The 27,627-nt window shown below is 48.4% G+C and overlaps 2 annotated features.

Annotated features, from left to right (window-relative positions):
- Nucleotides 2,809-3,600: an enhancer, noted in NCBI's record as "NANOG-H3K27ac-H3K4me1 hESC enhancer chr7:152241416-152242207 (GRCh37/hg19 assembly coordinates)". NCBI's record gives its function as "activates a minimal SCP1, AML or CMV promoter by ChIP-STARR-seq in primed H9 embryonic stem cells {active_cell/tissue: H9 hESC(primed)}" and the evidence as "EXISTENCE:reporter gene assay evidence [ECO:0000049][PMID:30033119]".
- Nucleotides 8,992-9,502: an enhancer, noted in NCBI's record as "H3K27ac-H3K4me1 hESC enhancer chr7:152235514-152236024 (GRCh37/hg19 assembly coordinates)". NCBI's record gives its function as "activates a minimal SCP1, AML or CMV promoter by ChIP-STARR-seq in naive H9 embryonic stem cells {active_cell/tissue: H9 hESC(naive)}" and the evidence as "EXISTENCE:reporter gene assay evidence [ECO:0000049][PMID:30033119]".

Genomic DNA, 27,627 nt, shown 5'->3' with positions numbered 1-27,627 from the left:
CTCAGGTGATCTGCCCACCTCAGCCTCCCAAAGTGTTGGCATTACAGGCATGACCCACTGTGCCCAGCCAATAACTAAACTTTTGTGTGATTCTTACTTAGCCCCTCAGGATAAGGTTTTTGGTTGTTGTTGTTGAGACTGAGTCTCGCACTGTCACCCAGGCTGGAATGCAGTGGCATGATCTCAGCTCACTGCAAGCTCCACCTGCTGAGTTGAAAGGATTCTCGTGCCTCAGCCTCCCAAGTAGCTGGGATTATAGATGCCTGCCACCATGCCCGGCTAATTTTTGTATTTTTAGTAGACACGGGGTTTCACCATGTTGACCAGGCTGGTCTCGAATGCCTGACCTCAAGTGATCCGCCCACCTCAGCCTCCTGAAGTGCTGGGATTACAGGCGTGAGCCACCATGCGCCGCCAAGGTCTTATAAATAGCACTCCTGAGCTACACATTTTGTTGGTGCCTGGTGTTAGCCCGTCCTTCATGATGGAACGCCTTCGGCAGCACAGAAAATGGCCTTTTCCCTGTGACTTCACAAACATGAGATTTTTTTCAGTTGAAGGTTCAAAACAGACAGTGTCTCAGTGCCTCACCCTAAATGTCCCTAGCTGCTGGTGAGATTTCTCCTTTTCCCTTGTCGACTTCTCTTTCTGTGTCCCCGTCCATAGAGACAGCACAGCAGGGTGGTCAAGAGCACAGGAACAGACTGGACCAGACCACCTGAGCTCCATCCACTTCTGCCTCATTCATCAGCTGTTCGATCTCAAACAAGTAACCAATCTCAAACAGTGTCCCTGTCTGTAAAGTGGGGACATCAGGTAATGCATAGAGTCATTGTAAAAATTAAATTACTTCATAGCACATGCAAAACACGAAGAACAGTGCTTGGCTTGCAGTAAGCACTTCAGAAGTATTAGCTCTTATTTGTCCATTAAATTTAGTAAAACACCTAGAGTGAACACGAACGTAAACTGTAGACTTGGGTGATGATGTGTCAGGGTGGGCTCATTAATCGTAAGAAATAGCCAGGTGCGGTGGGTCACGCCTGTAATCCCAGCACTTTGGGAGGCCGAGGAGGGCGGATCACAAGGTCAGGAGATCGAGACCATCCTGGCTAACATGGTGAAACCCCGTCTCTACTAAAAATACCAAAAATTAGCCGGGCGTGGTGGCAGGCACCTGTAGTCCCAGCTACTCGGGAGGCTGAGGCAGGAGAATGGCGTGAACCTGGGAGGCGGAGCTTGCAGTGAGTCGAGATGGCACCTCTGTACTCCAGCCTGGGCGACAGAGCAAGACTCCGTCTCAAAAAAAAAAAAAAATCGTAAGAAATGTGTCACTCTCTGGTTGACAATGGGAGAGACTGTGAGTGTGTGGGGACAGGGATATATGGGAAATCTCTGGTGCTTCCTGTCAATTTTGCTGTGAACCTAAAACTGCTCTTAAAAAAAAAATATTGGCCAGATGCAGTGGCTCATGCCTGTAATCCCAGCACTTTGAGAGGCCGAGGAGGGCGGATCATGAGGTCAGGAGTTCGAGACCAGCCTAGCCAACAGGTGAAACCCCGTCTCTACTAAAAATACAAAAAATTAGCCGGCGTGATGGCATGCGCCTGTAATCCCAGCTACTCAGGAGGCTGAGGCAGGAGAATCGCTTGAACCCGGGAGGCGGAGGTTGCAGTGAGCCGAGATCATGCCACTGCAGTCCAGCCTGGGCAACAGAGCAAGACTCTGTCTCAAAAAAAAAAAAATCTTAGGCCAGGCACGGTGGCTCACGCCTGTAATCCCAGCATTTTGGGAGGCCGAGGCGAGTGGATCACCTGAGGTCGGGAGTCCGAGACCAGCCTGACCAACATGGAGAAAGCTCGTCTCTACTAAAAATACAAAATTAGCCAGGCGTGGAGGCACATATCTCTAATCCTAGCTACTCGGGAGGCTGAGGCAGGAGAATCACTTGAATCCAGGAGGTGGAGGTTGCGGTGAGCTGAGATCGTGCCATTGCACTGCAGCCTGGGCAACAAGAGTGAAACTCCGTCTCAAAAAATAAAAAATCTTAAAACAATTATTATTATTATTATTATTATTATTCAAGACAGAGTCTCATTCTGTCTCCCAGGCTGGAGTGCAGCAGTGCAGCCACAGCTCATTGCAGCCTTGAACATCCAGGCTCAAGTGATCCTTCCATCTCAGCCTCCCGAAGTACTGGGATTACAGGTGTGAGCCACTGCACCTGTAAAAAAAAAAAGTCTTAAAACAACTTTTGAACACCACTTCATTAAGGAGAGTATACCTTTACCATGTACTTTGCAAATCTTTGCCTTGCCTTCGTTGTTTAGAATTTTTCACAATATAACCTTTACTTGAGAGGTTTGACAAGAATAGAGAAGAAACGATACTATTTTGTCCAAATGTTATTATCACCATTTGTTTTATATTTGCGTATCCTAAAGACTTTGGCCAGCAACGCGACCTCAGGACGTAGAGGCCAGGATGCTTGTCCTGTTGGGATGCTGGGAGGGAGTGCCCCGACTCAGGAGCCACTGTTTCCTGCCTCTGGCTTCCCTGCCTCTGAGAAGAGAGTGTTTACAGGGACTAGGGACTGTCTTCAACTAGTAGGAAGGCAATGGTGTAGAAGGAAAAAGGAATGGATTCGCTGTTATTACTCCAAAGGGTAAAAGTTACCAGGAAGTAAATTTTGGCCTAATCTAAGAAGGAACTTTTTATCACATACTCGAGCTGCCTGGGAGGTAGCTCCTAAATTCCTCCCGAATAAAGGCCTTCAAGCGTGGGTTGCACAGGCAGCAGAGAGAGCTGCACCCCGTGGAAGGCTGGGTTAGATGACTGCTATAGTTTTTGTGACTTGCTTTGTTCTAAATTCCTTCTATGTTGATATTTCTGGCTCTTCTTCTTCTTCTTTTTTTTTTTTTTTTTTTTTTTTTTAGACAGTCTCGCTCTATCACCCAGGCTGGAGTGCAGTGGCGCAATCTGAGCTCACTGCAACCTCCGCCTCCTGGGTTCAAGCGATTCTTGTGCCTCAGCCTCCGCAGGAGCTGGGAGTACGGGCCCGCGCCACCACGCCCGGCTAAGATATTTATGGCTCTTCATTTGCGCGATCAGAAGCTGTATCAGCTCTGTGTACTTCTCCCTCTTCTGTCCGCTGGACAAACAGACTCTCCAGCTGAGGCAGCGGAGGTCCAAGCAGAAGGGAACACCCCTACTTCTCCCGCTGGTATTTAAATGTGGCCGCATGGGGTTCCTGAGCTCTTGTATTTACAAGTCAGTTTTCCTCCCTGTTGTTACAAAGCGCTCCCTTCCCACTGATGTTGAAGTGCCACGACTTCAGCGTTTGCCTGAAAAAAACATGACCACAAACTAAGAAGCCAAGGCCAGGCGCGGTGGCTCACGCCTGTAATCCCAGGACTTTGAGAGGCGGTGGCAAGCGGATTGCCTGGGCTCAAGAGTTTGAGACCAGCCTGGGCAACACGGTGAAACCCTGCCTCTACTACAACACACACACACACACACACACAAAAATTAGCCGGACAACACGGTGAAACCCTGCCTCTACTACAATACAAAAAAAAAAAAAAAAAAAAATTAGCCGGGCATGGCGGCGGGCGCCTGTAGTCACAGCTACTTGGGAGGCTGAGGCAGGAGAATTGCTTGAACCCGGGAGGCGGAGGTTGCAGTGAGCAGAGAACTAGGCAGTTGGTGGGCGGAGTGCTGACCTGCAAAAGAGTCAGTGAGGGAAGAGAGGGTTAGAAACAATCCACCCTAACATCCTCCCCACCCACTTCTCCAGCCGGTCTTCCCTTTCGCATTCTGTGAGATTCTCTGACCTTCATTTTAATCTGATCGTCTAACACTAAAATGTAGTCAGAACACTCCTCCCCAGGCTGAGTCCTCTAGGGAGAACCATAGAAATGTAAATTGTCATCCTCTTCACCGCAATCATTACTGTAGCCCAGAGCCCAGAGGCCCCCCAGGGCAACCCTTCATCTGGTAAACAAGAGGATACAAACCCAGGCACATTTTTTGACTAATGAGAAACACTCACAGAAAATGAAAAGGCCACCCTCCCTGCAGTGGCATCCAGGCCTGGCCTTGGTCCTTCCTTCCTCCTCGGCTGCTCTGTCTTCGTGGAACTCACACCCCCACGTAGTCATCTTCCCCGTGGAGAATACTTAGCCTTGGATTAGCACTGGCTGCATTTTCTTCAGCTCCATTTCCAAATTCCCGTAATTCCTATTTCATTCAATTAATATATTTTGGCCAGTTCTCTTCTAGCAGACTGGGGACAGAGACATCTCCCATACAGAAATAACAGCGTCGTTGTTATATATACATTTTTTGAGACAGGGTCTCGCTCTGTCATCCAGGCTGGAGTGCAGTGGCACGATCTCTGTTCACTGCAACTTCGACTTCTTGGGCTCAAGATCCTCTCACCTCAGCCTCCCAAGTAGCTAGAACTACAGGTGCACGCCACCACGCCTGGATAATTTTTGTTTTTTTTGTTTTTTTTGTAGAGATGGGGTTTCACCATGTTGCTCAAGTTGGTCTCAAACTCCTAGTCTCATGCAATCCGCCCACCTTGTCCTCCCAAAGTGCTGGGATTACAGGCCGAGCCACCATGCCCCACCTGTCCTCATTGTTAATAAAGACCATGCCAGCCCGGTGTGGTGGCTCACGCCTGTAATCCCAACACTTTGGGAGGCCAAGGCAGGTGGATTCCCTGAGGTCAGGAGTTTGAGACCAGTCTGGCCAACATAAAAAATAAAAAAATAGGCTGGGTGTGGTGGTTCACGCCTGTAATCCCAGCACTTTGGGAGGCCAAGGCGGGTGAATCACCTGAGGTCAGGAGTTCGAGACTAACCTGGCCAACATGGCGAAACCTTGTCTCTACTAAAAAAAATGCAAAAATTAGCCGGGCGTGGTGGTGCGTGCCTGTAATCCCAGCTACCCAGGAGGCTGAGGCAGGAGAATCTCTTGAACCCGGGAGGCGGAGGTTGCAGTGAACGGAGATCGTGTCACTGCACTCCATCTCCTGGGGAACAGGGCAAGACTCTGTCTCAAAAAAATAAATTAATTAATTAAATAAAAAAATAAAGACCATGCCACTGGTTAGGGTGAGCCCCAGCCCCATACTTTTTAAGGCTTTAATAATTAACTTTAGTTCCTCTAATATTCTAATTCTGTCCTGAAATGGATGCCATCTCAAGGAAGAGACTACCTTAAATCAAGTGTCTGAGAAGACAGCTTTGGTGGAACCGTACTATTCTAATTCTACTTAAGATGTTGGCCAATATGAGCACACATAGCTTTTCATTTCAGTTCCCACTCCCTACTGCCCAACATGCTTACTTTTTTTTTTACTTTTTTTTTGTTTTTTTCAGACAAAGTCTCGCTCTTGTCCCCCAGGCTGGAGTGATCTTGGCTCACTGCAACCTCCACCTCCCAGGTTCAAGCAATTCTGATATTCGTTTGTTAATTTATTCATCCAGTAAGCATTCATTAATCCCTTCCCTCAAGGAGTTTCCATTCAGTGAAACTGAGCCTATACAAAGTAGGGCTGACTTGGTGGGGATGCTAACCTTGTATGTGGCTTGAAGGAGTAGTAAGACGCCACCTATTCAAAAGAGTATCTCCTGCATTTTGTATGTAATATTATCGTAGACCATCCTCTGCCTTACAGCAGCATCTCCCAGTGTGTGGCCTGCAAGGTTCATTTGTTCACCACAGATGCTCACTAATGGCCTACTGGGTACCTGGCTGTGGCCTTCACAGAAACCTCCATGGTCAAGTGAGTGTCAGAAATATTGGCATAAACAAGCTGAGGCTTGTCACGCTCATTATGCAATATGACTTGTGCCCTTCCGAAGTTCTTGCCATAGAGGCGAAGGTTGCAGTGAGTGGAGATTGCACCACTGCACTCCAGCCTGAGCAACAGGCAATTATTTTTAATTTTATTTATTTAAAAAATTACATCTTTCATGCTTTTTTTAAAATTTTGTTTTGTTTTGTTTTGTTTTTGAGATGGAGTTTCGCTCTTGTTGCCCAGCCTCCCGAGGAGCTGGGACTACAGGCATGCACCTCCACACCCGGCTAATTTTCGTATTTTTAGTGGAGACGGGGTTTCACCATGTTGACCAGGTGGTCTCGAACTCCTGACCTCAGGTGATCTGTCCGCCTCGGCCTCCCAAAGTTCTGGGATGACAGGCGTGAGCCACCGCACCCAGCCAGTTGTTTCAAATTATATGCTAATACTATATTAATTATAAAGCAACTTCTTCAAGCAAGCAAACACCGTATGAACGCACCATTGTTAACCTATAATTAAAATATGAACAATCATGTTACAAATATATATTTAATATTATTAGTTCCAAGAGTAGGAATGATCAAATGTTTGAGGGATTTTTTGCTGTTGTTCGAGACGGAGTCTCGCTCTGTCGCCCAGGCTGGAGTGCAGTGGCACGATCTCAGTTCACTGCAAGCTCCGTCTCCCGGGTTCACGCCATTCTTCTGTCTCAGCCTCACGAGTAGCTGGGACTACAACGGACTACAGGCGCCCACCAACACGCCCGGGTAATTTTTTGTATTTTTAATGGAGACGGGGTTTCACCGTATTAGCCAGGATGGTCTCGATCTCCTGACCTCGTGATCCACCCGCCTCGGCCTCCCAAGGTGCTGGGATTACAGGCGTGAGCCACCGTGCCCGGCCTGTTTGAGAGATTTTTTATTTCGGTACAATCACTTTAACAATCAGATTAGCCAGAGATTTTTTTCCTTCACTTTATGAAAGCATTGTTTTTCTGTTTGTTTGTTTTCTTTTTTGCCTCCCTATTAAGTTCTTTGAAAGCTCAGAAGAACTCTTATCTTTTCCCTTCTGAAACTGTCTTGTTCTCCAGGGAGCAGTGGGAGGTTTGTTTTGCTGCAGAAGAATGAATGATTCTTGATACATTTCTGGCCTTGTCCTGTTAAAAACTGAGGAGGGGCCTCACATCCCAGCCCTGGGTAAGAGCACAAACACAAATGGGATTCTTCTCTGCAGCAGTTTCCACTCCCACCTTGATGAGTGTTCTGCGGTTGGCAGGACTATCCAAACCTGCCCCAGAGTCCCAGGAAGCTGAGAGGCCAAAGAAAGAGGCTGACAAATCCTGTTTCTTAGCCGGAATCACCTAATGGAGACTTATAAACAAAAGCTAATGGAGGTGGTGGATCCGCAGGCTGCCACTCCCCTACTCCGGGCTTATGTAGCATAGGGGAGGGGTGGTTCAGAAGGGCTATGCAGGAACTGAAGTATGATGACCTCAAGGTCGTTTGCCCTAAGGGCAGGATTTATGATAGTACCTACTCTTACACAAGGAACAAGAGACAAACAGGAAATCTTAGAAACCAACATGGTGAGCCGGGCGCGGTGGCTCATGCCTGTAATCCCAGCACTTTGGGAGGCCGAGGCGGGCAGATTGTCTGAGCTCAGGAGTTCGAGAACAGCCTGGCCAGCATGGTGAAACCCCATCTCTACTAAAAACACAAAAATTAGCTGGGCGTGGTGGCGGGCACCTGTAATCCCAGCTACTTGGGAAGCTGAGGCAGGAGAATCACTTGAACCCGGGAGGCAGAGGTTGCAGTGAGCTGAGATCATGCCACTGCATTCCAGCCTAGGCAACAGAGTGAGACTCCATCTCAAAAAAAAAAAAAAAAAAAAACTGAGGAGGGCTACTTCGTCTGATCACTGGAGTACTGACTTGGTCTACAGCTCCCCTAACTTAACCATTTCCATTTTCTTTGTTTGTTTGTTTGTTTTTTGAGACAGAGTCTCACTCTGTTGCCCAGGCTGGAGTGCCGTGGCATGATCTCAGCTCACTACAACTTCTGCCTCCCGGGTTCAAGCGATTGTCCTGCTTCTGCCTCCTGAGTAGCTGGTACTACAAGTGCACGCCACCATGCTCGGGTAATTTTTGCATTTTTAGTAGAGACGGGGTTTCACTATGTTGGCCAGGCTGGTCTCGAACTCCTGAACTTGTGGTCTGCTCACCTCTGCCTCCCAAAGTGCTGGGATTACAGGCATGAGCCACAGCTCCCAGCCCCATTTCCATTTTCTTAGCCTCACAATTGCCAAATTCAAATATTAGTAAACAAAATATCATGCGATATAATTTTAGAAGCAACAAATTGGTCCCTTTGTCCAGAAATATTTTCTCTGCTTATTTTCCTCAGTTATTAAATTCTTCAATAAGATTTTAATAATTCAGACTAAAGTTTTGACCATGCCTTCCAGTTCAGACAATGCCGTGGTCTGTACATTTGGGAATTTGGAATAGTGGTTAAAAGCACCTGCTTTAGTGGGGTGCGGTGGCTCACGCCTGTAATCCCAGCACTTTGGGAGGCCAAGGCAGGCGGATCACCTGAGGTCGGGAGTTCAAGACCAGCCAGGCCAACATAGTGAAACCTTGTCTCTACTAAGAATACAAAAATTAGCGGGGCGTGGTGGCGTGCGCCTGTAGTCTCAGTGAGAGGTGACAGCGTGCTGGCAGTCCTCACAGCCCTCGCTCGCTCTCGGCGCCTCCTCTGTCTGGGCTCCCACTTTGGTGGAACTTGAGGAGCCCTTCAGCCCACCGCTGCACTGTGGGAGCCCCTTTCTGGGCTGGCCAAGGCCGGAGCCGGTTCCCTCAGCTTGCAGGAAGGTGTGGAGGGAGAGGCGCAAGTGGGAACCGGGGCTGCGCCCAGCGCTTGCGGGCCAGCTGGAGTTCCGGGTGGGTGTGGGCTTGGCGGCGCAGCCGGCCGGCTTATGAGGGGCTTAGCACCCGGGTCAGCGGCTGCGGAGGGTGTACTGGGTCCCCTAGCAGTGCCAGCCCACCGGCGCTGCGCTCGATTTCTCACCGGGCCTTAGCTGCCTTCCCGCGGGGCAGGCCTCGGGACCTGCAGCCCGCCGTGCCTGAGCCTCCCACCCCCTCCATGGGCTCCCGTGCGGCCGGAGCCTCCTCGATGAGCACCGCCCCCTGCTCCACGGCGCCCAGTCCCATCGACCACCCAAGGGCTGAGGAGCGCGGGCGCGCGGCGCAGGACTGGCGGGCAGCTCCACCTGCAGCCCCGGTGCGGGATCCACGGGGTGAAGCCGCTGGGCTCCTGAGTCTGGTGGGGACGTGGAGAACCTTTATGTCTAGCCCAGGGATTGTAAACACACCAATCAGCACCCTATGTCTAGCTCAGGGTTTGTGAATGCACCAGTCGACACTCTGTATGTAGCTACTCTGGTGGGGCCTTGGAGAACCTGTGTGTCTTAACTCTGTATCCAGCTAATCTGGTGGGAAGGTGGAGAACCTTTGTATCTGGCTCAAGGATTGTAAACGCACCAATCAGCGCCCTGTCAAAACAGACCACTGGGCTCTACCAATCAGCAGGATGTGGGTGGGGCCAGATAAGAGACTAAAAGCAGGCTGCCCGAGCCAGCAGTGGCAACCCGCTCGGGTCAGTTTCCACACCGTGGAAACTTTGTTCTTTCACTCTTTGCAAAAAATCCTGCTGCTGCTCACTCTTTGGGTTCACACTGTCTGTATGAGCTGTAACACTCACTGCGAAGGTCTGCAGCTTCACTCCTGAGCCAGTGAGACCACAAACCCACCAGAAGGAAGAAATTCGGAACACATCTGAACATCAGAAGGAACAAATTCCGGTTACGCCGCCTTTAAGAACTGTAACACCCACCGCGAGGGTTGGCGGCTTCATTCTTGAAGTCAGTGAGACCAAGAACCCACCAATTCCGGACCCATCAGCTACTCGGGAGGCTGAGGCAGGAGAATCACTTGAACCCAGGAGGCGGAGGTTGCAGTGAGCCGAGATTGTGCCATTGCACTCCAGTCTAGGTGACAGAGCAAGACTCTGTCTCAAAAAAAAAAAAAAAAAAAAAAAAGCACCCACTTTAAACCAGAGAAGGTAAGTTTGAATTCCAGCTTTGCCATTTGTTAGATGCCGAACTGTGGGCATATCTAGTCAGCCTTTACTTCCTAACCTCAGCAATGGGAACAACGTAGTATCTCTCTCATAGAAATGTTGTCAAGAGTGCAAAAATGCAACAATGCACGTAAATGATTAACAGTGTCTGACTCAATAAATAGTGGCGGTTGTAATCCTGATAAATATTTCTTTCTGTCCTCTTATTTTGCTAAATTAAGGAAAGAAGCATTCAGAGCTCCCATCTCCATCCAGGACACATGACTGACCAGAGTGTTGGATGCTCTTCAGCCTTAAAGCTGAATCCACATGTTGTGTTTTCCAGCCTTGAGGGCAAGCTGAGGATGGAAAAGGTACCTGGATTAGTGACGGCCACAGAAAGCAAGAGTAGGATGCCGCCAGGCAGGTTCAAAAACAAAGACAGACGGCTGGGCATGGTGGCTCATGCCTGTAATCCCAACACTTTGGGAGGCCAAAGGTGGCGAGTCACCTGAGGTGAGGAGTTCGAGACCAACCTGGTCAACCTGGTGAAACCCTGTGTCTACTAAAAATTAAAAAACTAGCCAGGTGTGGTGGCGGATGCCTGTATTCCCAGCTACTCAGGAGGCTGAGGCAGGAGAATTGGTTGAACCCGGGAGGTGGAGGTTGCCAAGATCTCCCCCCTGCACTCCACCCTGGGTGACAGAGTGAGACTCCCTCTCAAAAAAAAAAAAAAAAAAAACCAAAAAAACAAAAACAAAAAACAAAGACAGATGTCACCAGCTTCGCAGTTTTGCTAAGGGTAAGCTCAGGCTTACCTCTATGAATATTTTCTTTCTTTCTTCTTCTTTCTTTCCCTTTCTTTCTTTCGTCTTTTCCTTTTTGAGACAGGGTATCGTGTTGTCACCCAGGCTGGAGTACAGTGGCACGATCTTGGCTCACTGCAACCTCTGCCTCCTGGGTTCAAGCAATTCTGCCTCAGCCTCCCGAGTACCTAGAATTACAGGTGCCCACCTCCACACCTGGCTAATTTTTGCATTTTTAGTAGATACAGGGTTTCACCACGTTGGCCAGGCTGGCCTCAAACTCCTGACCTCAAGTGATCCACCTCTTTCAGCCACCCAGAGTGCTGGGATTACAGCCATGAGCCACTGTTTATGACTGTTTTCTAATCATTTGGGCCAATCAAGGATCAGTTAAAGCATCATTAACCATAATTAAAGCAAAAATTCCATAGATATATGGCATTGAGTTTTTGCCTATAGAGATTGATTTTTTTCAGATTCATTCAATTACTATTTATGAAACAGGACTAGAGTCCATTTATTCACCCACTATGTGCCAGGCACGTTGCTATCTTCTGAGGATACCAGATGACGTGACATGAAGCCTTCCCTCACATAACTCACTTGGGAAGGTGGAACAGACATGTAAACAAATAATTACAATGTAATAGGAACAGCACAGCAAGAGGGAGAGAAGCAAAGGAGAGATTCTAACATTTCCTGAGCTCTTCCAGGAGACAAATGACTCTTTTTTTTAATTTTTTTGAGACGGAGTCTCACTCTGTCGCCAGGCTGGAGTGCAGTGGCACAATTTCGGCTGACTGCAACCTCCGCCTTCCCCAGGTTCAGGCGATTCTCCTGCCTCAGCCTCCTGAGTAGCTGGGACTACAGGCGCCCGCCACCATGCCCGGCTAAGTTTTGTATTTTTAGTAGAGGCGGGGTTTCATCATGTTGGCCAGGATGGTCTCGATCTCCTGGCCTCAAGTGATTCCCCCCGACTCGGCCTCCCAAAGTGCTGGGATTACAGGCGTGAGCCACCACCCGGCTGAAATCATAAAATATTTTAAACTGAATGACAATTAAAATATTACATATAAAGCTGGTGAGATGTAGGCTAAAGCATTATTTAGGGGAAGAATCTATAGCCTAAAGTACTATATTAAAATTTGACTGGCTTAAAAATAAAAAAAGAAAATGCTATATTAATAAAGAAGAAAGACTGAAAGTTAATGAGTTAAGCATCTATCTCAAAAGTTAGAACAGGAGTAGCAGAAAACACTAAATGAAAGTAGAAGGAAGAAAATAATATAGCTAATGGCCAGGTATGGTGGCTCATGTCTGTAATTCCAACACTTTGGGAGGCTGAGGTGGGAGGACAGCTTGAGCCCAGGAATTTGAGACTAGCTTTGGCAACATAGGGAAACCCTGTCCCTACCAAAAATAAAAAAATTAGCCAGGTGTGGCACCTGTGGTCCCTGCTACTCGAGAGGCTGAGAAAGGAGAATCGATTCAGCCCGGCGGGTTGAGGCTGAAATGAGCCATGATTGTGCCACAGCACTTCAGCCTGCATGACAGAGCGAGACTCTATCTCTATAATAATAACAATATACATAAAAGCATATATATATATTTTTTTTTTTTTTTTTGAGGTGGAGTCTCACTCTGTTGTTCAGGCTGGAGTGCAGTGGCCCTGTCTCCACTCACTGCAACCTCCACCTCCCAGTTTCAAGCGATTCTTCTGCCTCAGCCTCCCAAGTAGCTGGGATTACAGGTGCCCACCACCACACCTGGCTAATTTTTGTATTTTTAGTAGAGACAAGGTGTCTCCATGTTGGCCAGGCTGGTCTTGAACTCCTGACCTCAGGTGATCCACCCGCCTCGGCTTCCCAAAGTGCTGGGATTAGAGGCATGAGTCACCACGCCCAGTCAATAAAAGCATATATTGATGATTATATATATATATATAATTATATATAAAAACAGACAGAAAATAGAGAAAATCAGTAAAGCAAAAAATTGGTTCTTTTTTTTCTGAGATAGTGTTTCACTGTGTTACCTAGGCTGGAGTGAGGTGGCACAATCACAGCTCATGGCCGACTCAACATCCCAGGTTCCCAGGCTCAACTGATCTTCCCATCTTAGCCTGCCAAGAAGCTGGAGTTACAGGCTCGCATCACCATGTTAAGCTAATTTTTCTATTTTTTGTAGAGAAGAAGTCTCACTGTGTTGCCCAGGCTGGTCTCAAACTCCTGGGTTCAAGTGATCTTCCCACCTTGGCCTCCCAAAGTGCTGGGATTGCAGGTGTGAGCCACTGCACCTGGCCAAAAATTGGTTCTTTTAAAAAAAATACTAGGCTGGGTGCGGTGGCTCATGCTTGTAATCCCAACACTTTGGGAGCCTGAAGCGGGCAGATCACGAGGTCAAGAGTTCAAAACCAGCCTGACCAACATGGTAAAACCCTGTCTCTACTAAAAATACAAAAAAATTAGCTGCGCATGGTGGCACGCGCTGGTAATCCCAGCTACTCAGGAGGCTGAGGCAGGAGAATCGCTTGAACCCGGGAGTCGGAGGTTGCAGTGAGCCGAGATTGCGCCAGTGCACTCCAGCCTGAGCGACAGAGCAAGACTCCATCTCAAAAATAAATAAATAAATAAAAATACAAAAATTAGCCAGGTGTGGTGGCACACAGGTGTTGTGGCGTGCACTTGTAATCCCAGCTACTCAGGAGGGTGAGGCAGGAGAATCCCTTGAACCCAGGAAGCATAGTTTGCAGAGAGCTGAGATCGCACCACTGCACTCCAGCTTGGGTGACAGAGCAAGACTCCATCTCAAAAAAAAAAAAATTAAATTGATAAATCTCTGATGAAACTGCTCAAGAAAAAAGGAGAAGAGGAACCAAAAAAATATGTTTGGAATGAAAAAAGAGACATCACTACAGATCTTGCAGATATTCAAAAAAAAAAATAGGTATACACTTTAAATGACTTTATGTAAAGATTGAAAATTTTTACTAAAAACAAAATGGACACAAAAAGACACAGAAAACCTGAATTATTTTATAACTATAAAAGAGGTTAAATCCGTAATATAAAACCTTCCCCCAAAGAAAACTCTAAGACCAGATGGCTTTTTCTATAAATTTTATCAACGTGTAAGGAAGAACTAAAACCAATCTCAAACAAACTCTCCCAGAGAAGTGAAACAAAGTACATTTTATGAGGCTATCATAACTTTGTAGCAAAACCTGTCAAGGATATTACTTAAAAAAAATTTAATTACAGGCCAATATCATTCATAAACATAGATGCAGAAATGCCAAATAACATATTGCAAACCAGTTCTACAAATGTATAAGAAAACTAATGCAGCGTGACCAATTTACGTGTATGCTATGAATGTTAAATTGGTTTACTAAAAAAATGTAATTCAGCACATTAGCAAAATAAAGGAGAAAATTATGTTACCATCTCAATAGATGCATTAAAATATTTAATAAAATTGACCTCTGCAAATATACTGAATAGAGAAATATGGGCCAGGCTCAGTGGCTCACGCCTGTAATCCCAGCACTTTGGGAGGCCGAGGCAGGTGGATCACCTGAGGTCAGGAGCTCGAGACCAGCCTGGCCAACATGGCGAAACGCTGTCTCTACTAAAAATACCAAAATTAGCTGGGCATGGTCATGGGCGCCTGTAATCCCAGCTACTCGGGAAGCTGGGAATCGCTTGAAATATAAGAATTGCTTGAACCTGGGAGGCGGAGGTTGTAGTGAGCTGAGATCGTGCCACTGCACTCCAGCCTGGGTGACAGAGAGAAACTCAGTCTAAAAAAAGAAAAAAAGAACTATAACCAGGCACAGTGGCTCATGCCTGTAATCCCAGCACTTTGGGAGGCTGATGTCAGTGGATCACGTGAGGTCAGGAGTTTGAGACCAGCCTGGCTAACATGGTGAAACTCCATCTCTACTAATAATACAAAAATTAGCCTGACTTCGCCGGGCATGATGGCTCACGCCTGTAATCCCAGCACTTTGGGAGGCCGAGGCAGGTGGATCACGAGTTCAGGAAATAGAGACCATCCTGGCTAATATGGTCAAACCCTGTCTCTACTAAAAATACAAAAAATTAGCCGGGCGTGGTGGCGGGCGCCTGTAGTCCCAGCTACTCGGGAGGCTGAGGCAGGAGAATGGCGTGAACCCGAGAGGCGGAGCTTGCAGTGAGCTGAGATGGCGCCACTGCATTCCAGGCTGGGCGACAGAGTGCATCTCCGCCTCAAAAAAAAAAAGAAAAGAAAATTAGCCGGGCATGGTGAAGCATGCCTGTAATCCCAGCTACTCAGGATTTTGAGGCAGGAGGATCGCTTGAACACAGGAGGGAGAGGTTGCAGTGAGCCGAGATTACACCATTGCCTCCAGCCTGGGTGACAAGAGCGAAACTGTGTCTCCAATAATAGTAACTATAATAATAATAATGGCTGGGCATGGTGGCTCACGCCTGTAATCCCAGTACTTTGGGAGGCCAAGGTGGTTGGATCACCTGAGGCCAGGAGTTCGAGACTAGCCTGGCCAACATGGCAAAACCCCGTCTCTATGAAAAATACAAAAATTAGCTAGGCGTGGTGGTGGGCGTCAGTAATCTCAGCTACTGGGGAGGCCGAGGCAGGAAAATCGCCTGAACCTGGGGGGCAGAGGTTGCAGTGAGTCGAGATCACCCAATGCACTCCAGCCTGGGCGACAGAGTGCATCTCCGTCTCAAAAAAAAAAAAAAGAAAAAGAAAATAGATAGAAATGTGAACATTTTTCCCTTTGAAATTAGGAATGAGGAAAGATGCCCACTCTCACCACTTCTATTCAGCGTGGTTGTGGAGGTGGTGGTAGCCTGAAGGAACTGAAAAATGAGAAGGTGGAGTTTGAGAGGTTTTTTCTTTTTTTCTTTTTTTTGGTTGTTGTTGTTGTTTGGAGACAGGGTCTGGCTCAAAACTGGCTCGTGCAGTGGCGCGATCCCAACTCACAGCAACCTTCACCTCCTGGGTTCAAGCCAACCTCCTGCCTCAGCCTCCCAAGTAGCTGGGACTACGGGCTCATGCCACCATGCCCCGCTAATTTTTGTATTTTTTTTTTTTTTTTTTTGAGATGGGGTTTTGCTCTTGTTGCCCAGACTGGAGTGCAATGGCATGATGTCGGCTCGTTGCAACCTCCACCTCCCGAGTTCAAGCGATTCTCCTGTCTCAGACTCCCGAGTAGCTGGGATTACAGGCATGCTTGGCTAATTTTGTATTTTTAGTAGAGACAGGGTTTCTCCATGTCAGTCAGGCTGGTCTTGAACTCCCGACCTCAGGTGATCCGCCCTCCTCGGCCTCCCAAAGTGCTGGGATTACAGGTGTGAGCCACCAGTCTTGGCCAATTTATGTATTTTTTTGTAGAGACAGTGTCTCAACCTCCTGAGCTCAAGCATCCCAATGCCTCGACCTCCCAAAGTGCTAGGATCACAGGTGCAAGCCTCTGCACCCAGCCAAGAATGTATTTCTGATACGGATCTGTAGTCCTAGCAATGGCAAGGCTTAGGTGTACCATTGGAACAGGTGGAGCAAGGAGAAAGGAGGTGAAGACTCAGAGCTGGAGGTGAAGGAAGCTTGAGACTAGAGTTTTATGCCGATTATTCAAATGGGCACTGCAGTCACTGAGGATGATGGGGACGTGGGCTAGAATGAAAGACTGCCACGACCCATGCCAGAACCTTCAATAAATATGGCCGTGACCAGGACTTGGGTAGACGGCGTGGAGGAGAGGTGAGAAGTAATGAAACAGAAAGAAAAACTGTGCAAGAGTGTGTGGGATTTGGCCAAGCGTGGTGGCTCACGCCTGTAATCCCAGCACTTTGGGAGGCCGAGGCGGGCAGATCATGAGGTCAGGAGATCGAGACCATCCTGGCTAACACAGTGAAACCCCGTCTCTACTAAAAATACAAAAAAATTAGCCGGGCGTGGTGGCGGGCACCTGTAGTCCCAGCTACTTGGGAGGCTGAGGCAGGAGAATGGCGTGAACCCAGGAGGCAGAGCTTGCAGTGAGCCGAGATCGCGCCACTGCACTCCAGTCTGGGCGACAGAGCAAGACTCCGTCTCAAAAAAAAAAAAAGAGCATGTGGGGTTTTACACCAAGGTGACATGATGATTTGAAAAAGCTGGTGTGTAACAAGGAACTAACAGGATACTGATTTGAAGTCCTTGTGCAGGGAGTTTCTATCAACAAACCACCGCCATGCAGCACAGCTCTGGAGGGAGCCTTCCACTAAAAACAGGTTTTATATTTTTATTTACTTATTTTTTTTTTTGAGACAAAGTCTCACGTGATCTCGACTCACTGCAACCTCTGCCTCCCGGATTCAAGCGATTCTCCTGCCTCAGCCTCCCAAGTAGCTGGGATTAGAGGCGCCCGCCCCCATGCCCGGCTAACTTTTGTATTCTTAGTAGAGATGGGGGTCTCACCACGTGAGCCAGGCTGGTCTCAAACTCCTGGCCTCAGGTGATCCACCCGCCTCGGCCTCCCAAAGTACTGGGATTACAGGCGTGAGCCACCGCGCCCGGCCTAAAAAAAGGTTTTGCATCAGATCATGTGTGCAGAGCCCCTGGTATAGTGCTTGGCACATGGGAGGTGATGGGTTTTAGCCAGAAGACTCTGTGGAAAGAGAGGAGGGGTCCTGACGGGAAGCACGTCAAGGGAAGGGAAGCGACACCAGCAGGAGACAGAGAGAGGGTGCACATTCTGGGTGGTGGAGAGGACAGGGATGGGAAATGCAGTGGAATTACCTGGCCTAGCATCAGGTTCCCAGCAGGTTCCAACTCTTTTGGGATAATGTCTGGAAGAGTGACATTAGCATCAGATTCCATCTCTCTGGGGAGCTTATGAGGGCCTGGGTGTTTCTCAGTTCCCAGGTCCCATAGCGTCTGCTTCAACTACGTCTCTTATCTCCCTTTTCCCTGCTATGTCCATTACCATCATCCCATTCAGGCCTCCATGATTTCTTTCCTGGACTACAGTCTTCCCACTGTTTCTTCTGCCTCCATGTCATTTTGTAGGCACTACTTCAAAATGAATCTCTGTCATTTACCTGCTCCAAAATCTTCCATGACTCCCAACCAAAGGAAGTTTAATCTCCTCACTTAATGGTCAAGACCTTCGCCAGGTGCGGTGGCTCATGCCTGTAATCCCAGCACTTTGGGAGGCTGAGGCCAGGGGATCACTTCAGGTTAGGAGTTCGAGACCAGCCTGACCAACATGGTGAAACCCCGTCTCTACTAAAAATACAAAAAGTAGCTGGGTGTGGTGATGCGCACCTGTAATTCCAGGTACTCGGGAGGCTGAGGTGGGAGAATCACTTGAACCCGGGAGGCAGAGGTTGCGGTGAGCCAAGATCCAGGCACTGCACTCCAGCCTGGGCGACAGAGCAAGATTCCATCTAAAAAAAAAAAAATAAGGGAAAAATGTTCTACTTTCTTTCTTTTTAGACGGAGTTTTGCTCTTGGGATTACAGGCATGAGCCACCGTGCCCGGCCAATGTTCTACTTTCAAATGTCAACAAAGTAAGGTACCTAAAGAAAAGGGAAAGGATGGCAGGGCACACTGGCTCACGCCTGTAATCCCAGCACTCTGGGAGACCAAAGCAGGAGGATAGCTTGAGCTCAGGAGTTCAAGACCAACCTGGCCAACATGGCAAAACCCCATCTCTACCATAAATACAAAAAATTAGCCAGGCATGGTGGTGCACAACTATGGTCTCAGCTACATGGGAGGCTGAGGTGGGAGGATCGCTTGAGCCTGGGAGGCAGAGGTTGCAGTGAGCTGAGATCACACCACTGCACTCCAGCCTGGGCCACAGAGCGAGACTCCGTCCCAAAAAAAAAAAAAAAAGGCGGGGCATGGTTGCTCACGCCTGTAATCCCAGCACTCTGGGAGGCCGAGGCGGGCAGATCACAAGGTCAGGAGTTTGAGACCAGCCTGACCAACATGGTGAAACCCCGTCTCTACTAAAAATACAAAAATTAGCCAGAGGTGGTGACGCGCACCTGTAATCCCAGCTACTCAGAAGGCTGAGGCAGGAGAATCGCTTGAATCTGGGAGGCGGAGGTTGCGGTGAGCCCAGATCACGCCACTGCACTCCAGCCTGGGCGATAGAGTGAGACTCTGTCTCAAAAAAAAAAGGTGGGGGGGGAGATACATTTTATTTGTTTGTTTGTTTCCTCTGCAATATTTTTCATGAAGGGATAAATAATTTTTAATGAATGCCTGCCCTCTGAATGTTATGTGATTTCATTCTTGTACTAAACCTGAGAGGCTAGTTTCCTTATTCTCATTTTACAAATGAGTAAATCACGGCTTAAACTAATTCAGTCAGTCAGGGTCACCCCACTCAAAGCGGCAGAGATAAGGGTGCTGCCCGCTGTGTCTCACTCCAAACTCACTGCAGCCTCGAAAAGCATGAATACTACAGCCTCGAAAAGCATGAATGCTGCTTCTGCAGGGTAACTGTTTTATTCATTCTGTGGTTAAGTCAGAGATTATGTGACATTTACATGATTCGTCTAGTGGCTCTTTTCAAAACCTATCCCCCTCAGGTATGTATTTACCCTCTTGAAGACAAGTGAATTACAGCAGTTCTCACCCTGGACTGGTGGCCTAAATGAGAATTCCCGGCGGATTTAGTGGAAATCCATTTAGCCCTTTCAATTCTTTTTTTTTTTTTGAGATGGAATCTCACTCTGTCATCCAAAATGGAGTGCAATGGCGCGATCACGGCTCACTGCAACCTCCGCCTTCCCCGGGTTCAAGCGATTCTCCTGTCTCAGCCTCCTAAGTAGCTGGAACTAAAGGCTCACACCACCACGCCTGGCTAATTTTTGTATTTTTAGTAGTAGACAGGGTTTCATCATATTGGTCAGGCTGGTCTCGAACTCCTGACCTCAGGTGATCCACCCACCTTGGCCTCCGAAGTGCTGGGATTACAGGCATGAGCCACACCCCCAGCCTCCCTTTCCATTCTTTCACCGCCATTTTCTTTTTCATCAACTCAGTTGCATGTGATAGGGTCTTTTGAAAGAGATCTCTTTCTGAATCTTTGCAAAAGGAAGAATTTCAGCACAGCCAAAAAAGTATAAAGGGAAACCATTTTAATTTTTTAATTCATGCCATTATTAGTTCTCCTTGCATCAGCTTCTAATTATGCAGAAGTGCGTACATCTGACAGAGTGCCTGGCCCTGACTCATGACTTACTAATGAGATCATATTTTTCATTACAATTCCAAAATCCCATCAATCTTTTCTTAATTATTTTTAAGTGAATTTGCTGCCTTAGAAAGAAAAGGGCGTATGTGGCACTAGCAGGAACTAGGAAAGTTTCATGCGATTTCAATTTCAGAAAGTTTGTTGGCAAGATGGCCCGTATCTGCTGCCAATGTTAATAAATCAAATTTCGATGTCTAGGAACGGGTTTCATGCCATGGCCCCCCCTCCCATGTACCAGAACTCACTCTCATATTCAGTGGATCAGCCTTCAAGCATTGCCATGGCAGAGCTCCTTCCAGATGTCTCTGCCAACACATATTACAGTCATCGGTATAAGCAGGGGCAATATTCAAAATGTCTAACAACGGATACCAGCTTTAACTCTGAAACAAGGTCCTGGACCCCAGCTATGCCAGACTTAGCCCTTTAGCAGCTGGATTTTAAGAAGCTCCAGGAGATCCCTAGAGAGGGGCCAGAAGAGGCAGATTTTGGGGCGTGGGGAGAGATGGAGCAGCATCTATTTAACGACTGGTAGAGACGTAGTTAAATATTTTTGGATGCAGTATGGTACAGTGCTTACCGGTATCCACCGCACCTACAGCCGCCCAGGCAGCCTGACAAGGGCCATCTCCTAAACCTGGATTACAATCGCCTTTGTCGTCCCAGGGCGGTGGTAGTGGTGATGGTGTTTTTTCTTTCTTTCTTTTTTTCTTTTCTTTCCCTTTTTTTTTTTTTTTGAGATGGAATCTCTCTCTGTTGCCCAGACTAGAGTGCAGTGGCACAATCTTGGCTCACTGCAACCTCGGCCTCTCTGGGTTCAAGCGATTCTCCTGCCTCAGCCTTCTGAGTAGCTGGGATTACAGGCACCCGCCACCACACCTGACTAATTTTGTATTTTTAGTAGAGACAGGGGTTCATTCACCATGTTGGTCAGGCTGGTCTCAAACTCCTGACCTCAGGTGATCCTCCTGCCTCAGCCTCCCAAAGTGCTGGGATTACGGGCATGAGCCACCACATCCAGCTGATGGTGTTTTCTCAGTTGTGTCCAACATTCTAGATGAGTTTTCATCAACAGCATCACACCTAAAAACGTGCCCTCGGTCACCCTCCACCCTCTTTCCACAGTTTCAGCTGCAATACAAATCAGTCACCTGCTCCTAGTCCTCAGGCGATGTACCCTGCAAATATTCACGAGTACGTAAATGAGAGGGAAGCCAACGTGGTCACGAATTTTGTCTTCCTTGTTCTGGGTGATCTTTGTTGTCCATGTTAGACTTTTTCATTTTCTTCCTGAAATCCAGGACCTCAAAAATCAAACACCAGTTTTTTTTGTTTTTGTTTTTGTTTTGAGATGGAGTCTTGCTCTGTTGCCAGGTTGGAGTGCAGTGGCGCGATCTCGGCTCACTGCAACCTCTGCCTCCCAGGTTCAAGTGATTCTCCTGCCTCAGCCTCCCGAGTAGCTGGGACTACAGGTGTATGCCACCACGCCCAGCTAATTTTTTTTTTTTTTGTATTTTTAGTAGAGAAATGGTTTCACCATGTTGGCCAGGATGGTCTCAATCTCTTGACCTCATGATCCACCCACCTCAGCCTCCCACGGTGCTGGGATTACAGGCGTGAGCCACCACACCCTACCCCGAAACCCTAGTTTTTTTTTATTACAAACTTAAAGAGCTTAATTTAAAATGTTTAAAAAATTGAAAGCAGGTGTTTCATGTCAACATCACCATTTGTAGCTCTTGGAAGTTCTGGTAGCCCCTTGTAAACAAGAGGGAAGGAGGAAGTCAAATCTCTGAGTTGAAAGGGGCCTGTATCCGTCTTGCCTTCCAGGCTCCCCTGGCAGCCAGGGGAGGGTAGTAACACCTCGCCGCTGGTCGATCCCACGCACAGACAGAAAGTCTCCAAGTCCCTGATGGTGGCACCTCTACTTTCATCTACTCCAATATCAGCCACTTCTCTTTATTTTATTATTCATTATTGTTGGTTTTTAAAATATTTTAAATTTAATTTAATTTAATTTTTTTATTTGTTGAGGTGGTGTATCACTCTGTTGCCTAGGCTGGAGTGCAGTGGCCCAATCTCGGCTCCTTGCAACCTCTGCCTCCTGGGTTCAAGCAATTCTTCTGCCTCAGCCTCCTGAGTAGCTGGGGCTACAGGTGCTCACCACCACACCCAGCTAATTTTTGTATTTTTTGTTTGGTAGAGATGGGGTTTCACCATGTTGGTCAGGCTGATCTCTAACTCCTGGCTTCAAATATCTGCCTGCCTCAGTCTCCCAAAGTGCTGGGATTACAGGTGTGGGCCACTGTACCCAGCTATTGTTGTTGTGCTTTTTTTTTTCTTTGAGATGAACTCCCACTCTGTCACCCAGGCTGGAGTGCAGTGGCATGATCTCAGCTCACAGCAACCTCTGCCTCCCAGGTTCAAGTGATTCTCCTGCCTCAGCTTCCTAAGTAGCTGGGACTACAGTCACGTATCACCACGCCTGGCTAATTTTTGTTTTTTGCTTTTTTGAGATGGATTTTCACTCTTGTCACCTAGGCTGGAGTGCAATGGTGCAATCTTGGCTCACTGCAACCCCCGCCTCCCCGGTTCAAGCGATTCTCCTACCTCAGCCTCCCAAGTAGCTGGGATTACAGGCATACAACACCACGCCCCGCTAATTTTTTTTGTATTTTTAGTAGAGACGAGATTTCACCATGTCGGTCAGGCTGGTCTCGAACTCCTGACTTCAGGTGATCCATCCGCCTCAGCCTCCCAAAGTGCTGGGATTATTAGGCATGAACCACCGCGTCCGGTCTAATTTTTGTATTTTTTAGTAGAAACGGGGTTTTACCATGTTGGCCAGGCTGGTCTCGAACTCCTGACCTCAGGTGATCTGTCTGCCTCGGTCTCCCAAAGTGCTGGCATTACAGGCATGAGCCACCGCGCCCAGCCTATTGTTTTTTAATAGAGACAGGGGTCTCACTGTGTTGCCCAAACTGGTCTCAAACTCCTAGGCTCAAGCAATCCTCAGGCTGTGGCCTCCCAAAGTGTTGGGATTACAGATGTGAGCCACCATGCCCAGCCTCAACCCCTTCCCTTTAATTGGAGCTGTTTTCTTTTTTAAACGTGTTATTCTTTTTTTTTATTTTATTTTATTTTTGAGACTGAGTCTCGCTCTGTCGCCCAGGCTGGAGTGCAGTGGCGCAATCTCGGCTCACTGCAAGCTCCGCCTCCCGGGTTCACGCCATTCTCCTGCCTCAGGCTACCCAGTAGCTGGGACTACAGGCTCTCGCCACCACGCCCGGCTAATTTTTTGTATTTTTAGTAGAGACAGGGTTTCACCGTGTTAGCCAGGATGGTCTGGATCTCCTGACCTCGTGTTCCGCCCGCCTCGGCCTCCCAAAGTGCTGGGGTTACAGGCGTGAGCCACCGCGCCCGGCCGTGTCAGTCTTATTTATTACACTTCATGCTAAGCTGCAGTTGAGAAATGATGGCCTCACCCACTCACCACTCAGTACTCAGTTCTGTTTGTGGAAATGTCCTAGGCTGGCAGGGCCAGGACCCCACAGGGAAGCTGGCTATCAGGAGACAAGCCCTGCCTCTGTCCCCTGCCATGAAAGCAAAGCGAGCCCAGGCTCTGTGTGTAGGAATGTGACCGATCACCTCCTGGTAGCTTCATGGCAGGGCCAGGGAGCCACACTTGCTCTCAGACTCCATGCGCCAGGCCCAGGTTCCGGAGCTTTCCTCCCCGGTCCATGTACTGTAATAACTAAGTCAACTGGAAAGAAAATACTGCAGAAAAGAGTAAGGAAAAACAGGGCATGGGGGCAGCTGGGGCCAGGAAAGAGAGCACACAGCGAGGTATAAAGGACCATTGTGCTGGGCGCAGGACTTGGCACTCCGGGACTCGAAGGAGCCGGCAATGATCCGCTTTCTCTGGAGGGAGATCCTTGGATCCCAGCTGAATAAAGAACAACTTGAAACGTGGCGAGGGAGCCTGGGGGGGACACGGCAGGGGGAGGAGCGGGCAGAGCCAAGGGGAAAGTGGTGTTAAAAACAGGGGCTGCAGCAGGATCGGAGGGAATCAAAGGCGAAGACCAAGCTCTCCTATGTTTTTACTGCTCTCCGTCACCCCAAAATAACGAAGGTCCAATCAGAAGCTCACTTTAACAGCTGTCCACTAGGAAGACCAACTTGTGGGTCTGAGGTGGGAGGATCGCTCGAACCTGGGAGGTCGAGGCTGCAGTGAGCTGAGATCACGGCACTGCACTCCAGCCTGGGTGACGAAGTGAGACCCTGTCTCAACAAACAAACAAACAAACAAAAAACAGGAAGAGCAATCTTTCAAATGGCTAATCAATACATATTAGAAGAATGTTCTTGCAGGAAGGAGAAGAATGGAGAAGAAACTGAGAATCCATTCCAGTGATGACGAAAATTATAAGGCCATGATTTTGAGGCTTTGCTGCTCCCCATGTGACACTGGAAGGAAAGGGAGAAGATGACAGAAGAAAAGGGGGAAATGTAACCTCTGCAGGGGGTGTTGTTTTAATTTTATTATTATTATACTTTAAGTTTTAGGGTACATGTGCACAATGTGCAGGTTTGTTACATATGTATACATGTGCCATGTTGGTGTGCTGCACCCATTAACTCGTCATTTAGCATTAGGTATATCTCCTAATGCTATCCCTCTCCCCTCCCCCGCAAACTGAAATTTATTAAGGAAGACAAGACAAGCTGAGAGTCAAGGGTCCAGGGACGCTTTTGAGCCGGAGCTGTCCTCATTGCAACCGTGGCCCTCCTCTGTCCTCAGTCCCTTCCTCGGGGAGAAGCCCGTGGGGTGCCTTTAGCCTCTTGAGACCTTCCAGTGGAAAACGGAGTTCATCCTAGACCGATGGTTTGTCCCGAGAACAAACTGGGGGTGGGGGAGACTGGGACGAGAAAAAAAAAAAGCGTTAAGAGGAGGAGAGAGCTGGCACTGCTAAATGGAGAAAGGTTCCAGCAGCTTAATCCATCTTGAACAGAATCATTAATCAGGTGCAAAACTCCTCAAAGGAGCAAAACTAGGACCAGCTCCTTCCGAGGGCAGCCTGCCAATCTCCCCCACTTGCATTTTCATTTCCAAATCCTTGGTGTCTTTGTATCAGGGCTGATCCCAGCCAGCCTCGTCAGGAGCCACCTGTTCATGTCTCCTCCTATCTCCCTGACCTCGGAAGTGAGAGGAGAAATGACGGGAAACCCAGACAGCTGCTGCGATCCCCTCCCCCCTCCCCCACAAAACAAGCAGCCCAATTCTAGGATCTGGGCCAGACCCTGGCAGATGAGTTCCTCTCTGTGAGAAATGCTTTTGTAGGCACGTTAACTCTTTCATTCAGCACATCACTCTCTTGCTTAATAGAAGGTAAAGTCGGCCGGGTGCAGTGGCTCACGCCTGTAATCCCAGCACTTTGGGAGGCTGAGGCAGGCAGATCATGAGATTAGGAGATCGAGACCATCCTAACACAGTGAAACTCCATCTCTGCTAAAATACAAAATATTAGCCAGGCGTGGTGGCACGCACCTGTAGTCCCAGCTACTCGGAATGCTGAGGCAGGAGAATCACTTGAACCCAGGAGGCAGAGGTTGCAGTGAGCCGAGATCATGCCATTGCACTCCAGCCTGGGCAACAAGAGCAAAACTCCATCTCAAAAAAAAAAAAAAAAGAAGGTAAAGTCAGGCCCAGGAGGGCCCTCACAGGTCAGGCCTCGCCTACCCTTATTGTTCCAGCCCAGAGAATTCCAGTGACCTGCCCAAGGTCACAACACGGATTACAAGCTGAGTCATGCAGCCAGTCTCCAAGATATCCTCCAGTGATTCCTGCCTCTGTGTCCACACCCTTGGAGTCCCTGCCACAGAGACTAGAATCTCTGAAATCAACAGGACACTGCAAAAGGGACCATGTGGGACTTCCAAGGCCGGGTCATTAAAGACTCTGCAGCCCCCAGCTTGCTCTCTCTTCATTCTTGGGGGGAGCCAGCTGCCACGTCACAAGGACACTCAGACTTGTGGCAAGGCCCACATGGTGGAAACTGAGGCCTACCACCAACAGCCAGCACCAAGCCGTCCACGTGAGTGTGCCACCTTGGAAGCCGACCCTCCAGCCCAAGACGAGCCTTCAGATGAGTGCAGCCCTGGTCCACATCTTGAGAGATCTTGAGCCAGAACCACCCAGCTAAGGCTCTCCTGAATTCCTGGCCACTGAAACTGTGTGAGTTAATAAGAGTTTATTGCAGTGTCAAAAAGAAATAGAGCCAGGCACTTATTAAAGACAGCAGGATGGACTTTATTGAGACTACTCCAGTAAGGGAGAGAGACATCAGTGCATGCTGAGCTCAACTCTGAGCCATGCAGAGGTGACTGGGCATTTTTTTTTTTTTTGAAACAGAGTCTCCCTCTGTTGCCCAGGCTGGAGGGCAGTGGCAGGATCTTGGCTCACTGCAACCTCCCCCTCCCGGGTTCAAGCGATTCTCCTGCCTCAGCCTCCTGAGTAGCTGGGATTACAGGCACGTGCCACTACACCCAGTTAATTTTCGTATTTTTAGTAGAGACAGGGTTTCACCATGTTGGCCAGGCCAGGCTGGTCTCAAACTCCTGACCTTGTGATCCACCCACCTTGGCCTCCCAAAGTGCTGGGATTACAGGTGGGAGCCATCACGCCCAGCAGTGACTGGGCATTTTTAAGGGGAGGATGAGGGAGGATGGAGGAGGAATAAGCAGGAGGAGCTTGGGTGGGGTCGGGTGGAGTCACGTAAGCAGAAACTTACTAAGAGTGGGTGGGGGGCCCTTTTCAGAGAATTGTTAGACAAGGCAGTCATTGGGTCCATGCAAATCTCAAACAGTAAATTCTGCTGGCAGCCCTGAGCTTTTCCAGGCAGGAACTCAAGAGGAGCTGGGTCATGCTAGGGACATGACCTCGAGCTGTTAGAAACCAAGCTAGTGTGTTTTCAAGTCTCCTAGTGTGAGGGTGAACAGAATTGTTTCTGTTGAGATTTTGCGGTTTTCACAGGCAAGGTTAAAGCCTCTTTGAGAAGAAGACTCAGGGGAGCCTGACTCAAGTTTGGTCAAAGAGAAGGTCTTTTTCAATAGTTCTAAGTCACTGTGTTGGGGAGTTTGTTTTGCAGCGATAGATAACAGCTCACAGTAAATGTATAGAAGCAGATTCTCAGAGTCCGTGTCTCATGCTTTTTTTTTTTTTTTTTTTTTTTTTGACAGAGTCTCACTCTGTTGCCCAGGCTGGAGTGCAGTGGCTTGATCTCAGCTCGCTCACTACAGCCTCCGCCTCCTGAGTTCAAGGGATTCTCCTGCCTCAGCCTCCTGAGTATCTGGGATTACAGGTGCATGCCACCATGCCCCGACTAGTTTTTGTAATTTTAGTAGAATCGGGGTGTCACCATGTTGGCCAGGCTTGTCTTAAACTCCTGGCCTCAAGCAATCTGCCCACCTTGGCCTCCCAAAGTGCTGGGATTACAAGTGTGAGCCACCATGCCTGGCCCTCCATGTCTTATGCTTTTCCCACCATACTACTCGGCCCTCCCTTAGAAGACAAGGCTGCCAGACATCTCATGCACAATAACAGAGCTTCAAGGCCGGGCATGGTGGCTCACACCTGT

Source organism: Homo sapiens, chromosome 7 (assembly GCF_000001405.40).
Source record: "Homo sapiens chromosome 7, GRCh38.p14 Primary Assembly".
NCBI lineage: Eukaryota > Metazoa > Chordata > Mammalia > Primates > Hominidae > Homo > Homo sapiens.
Note: the sequence above shows the minus strand (reverse complement) of the source record. Positions and strands in the feature narration are given on the sequence as shown.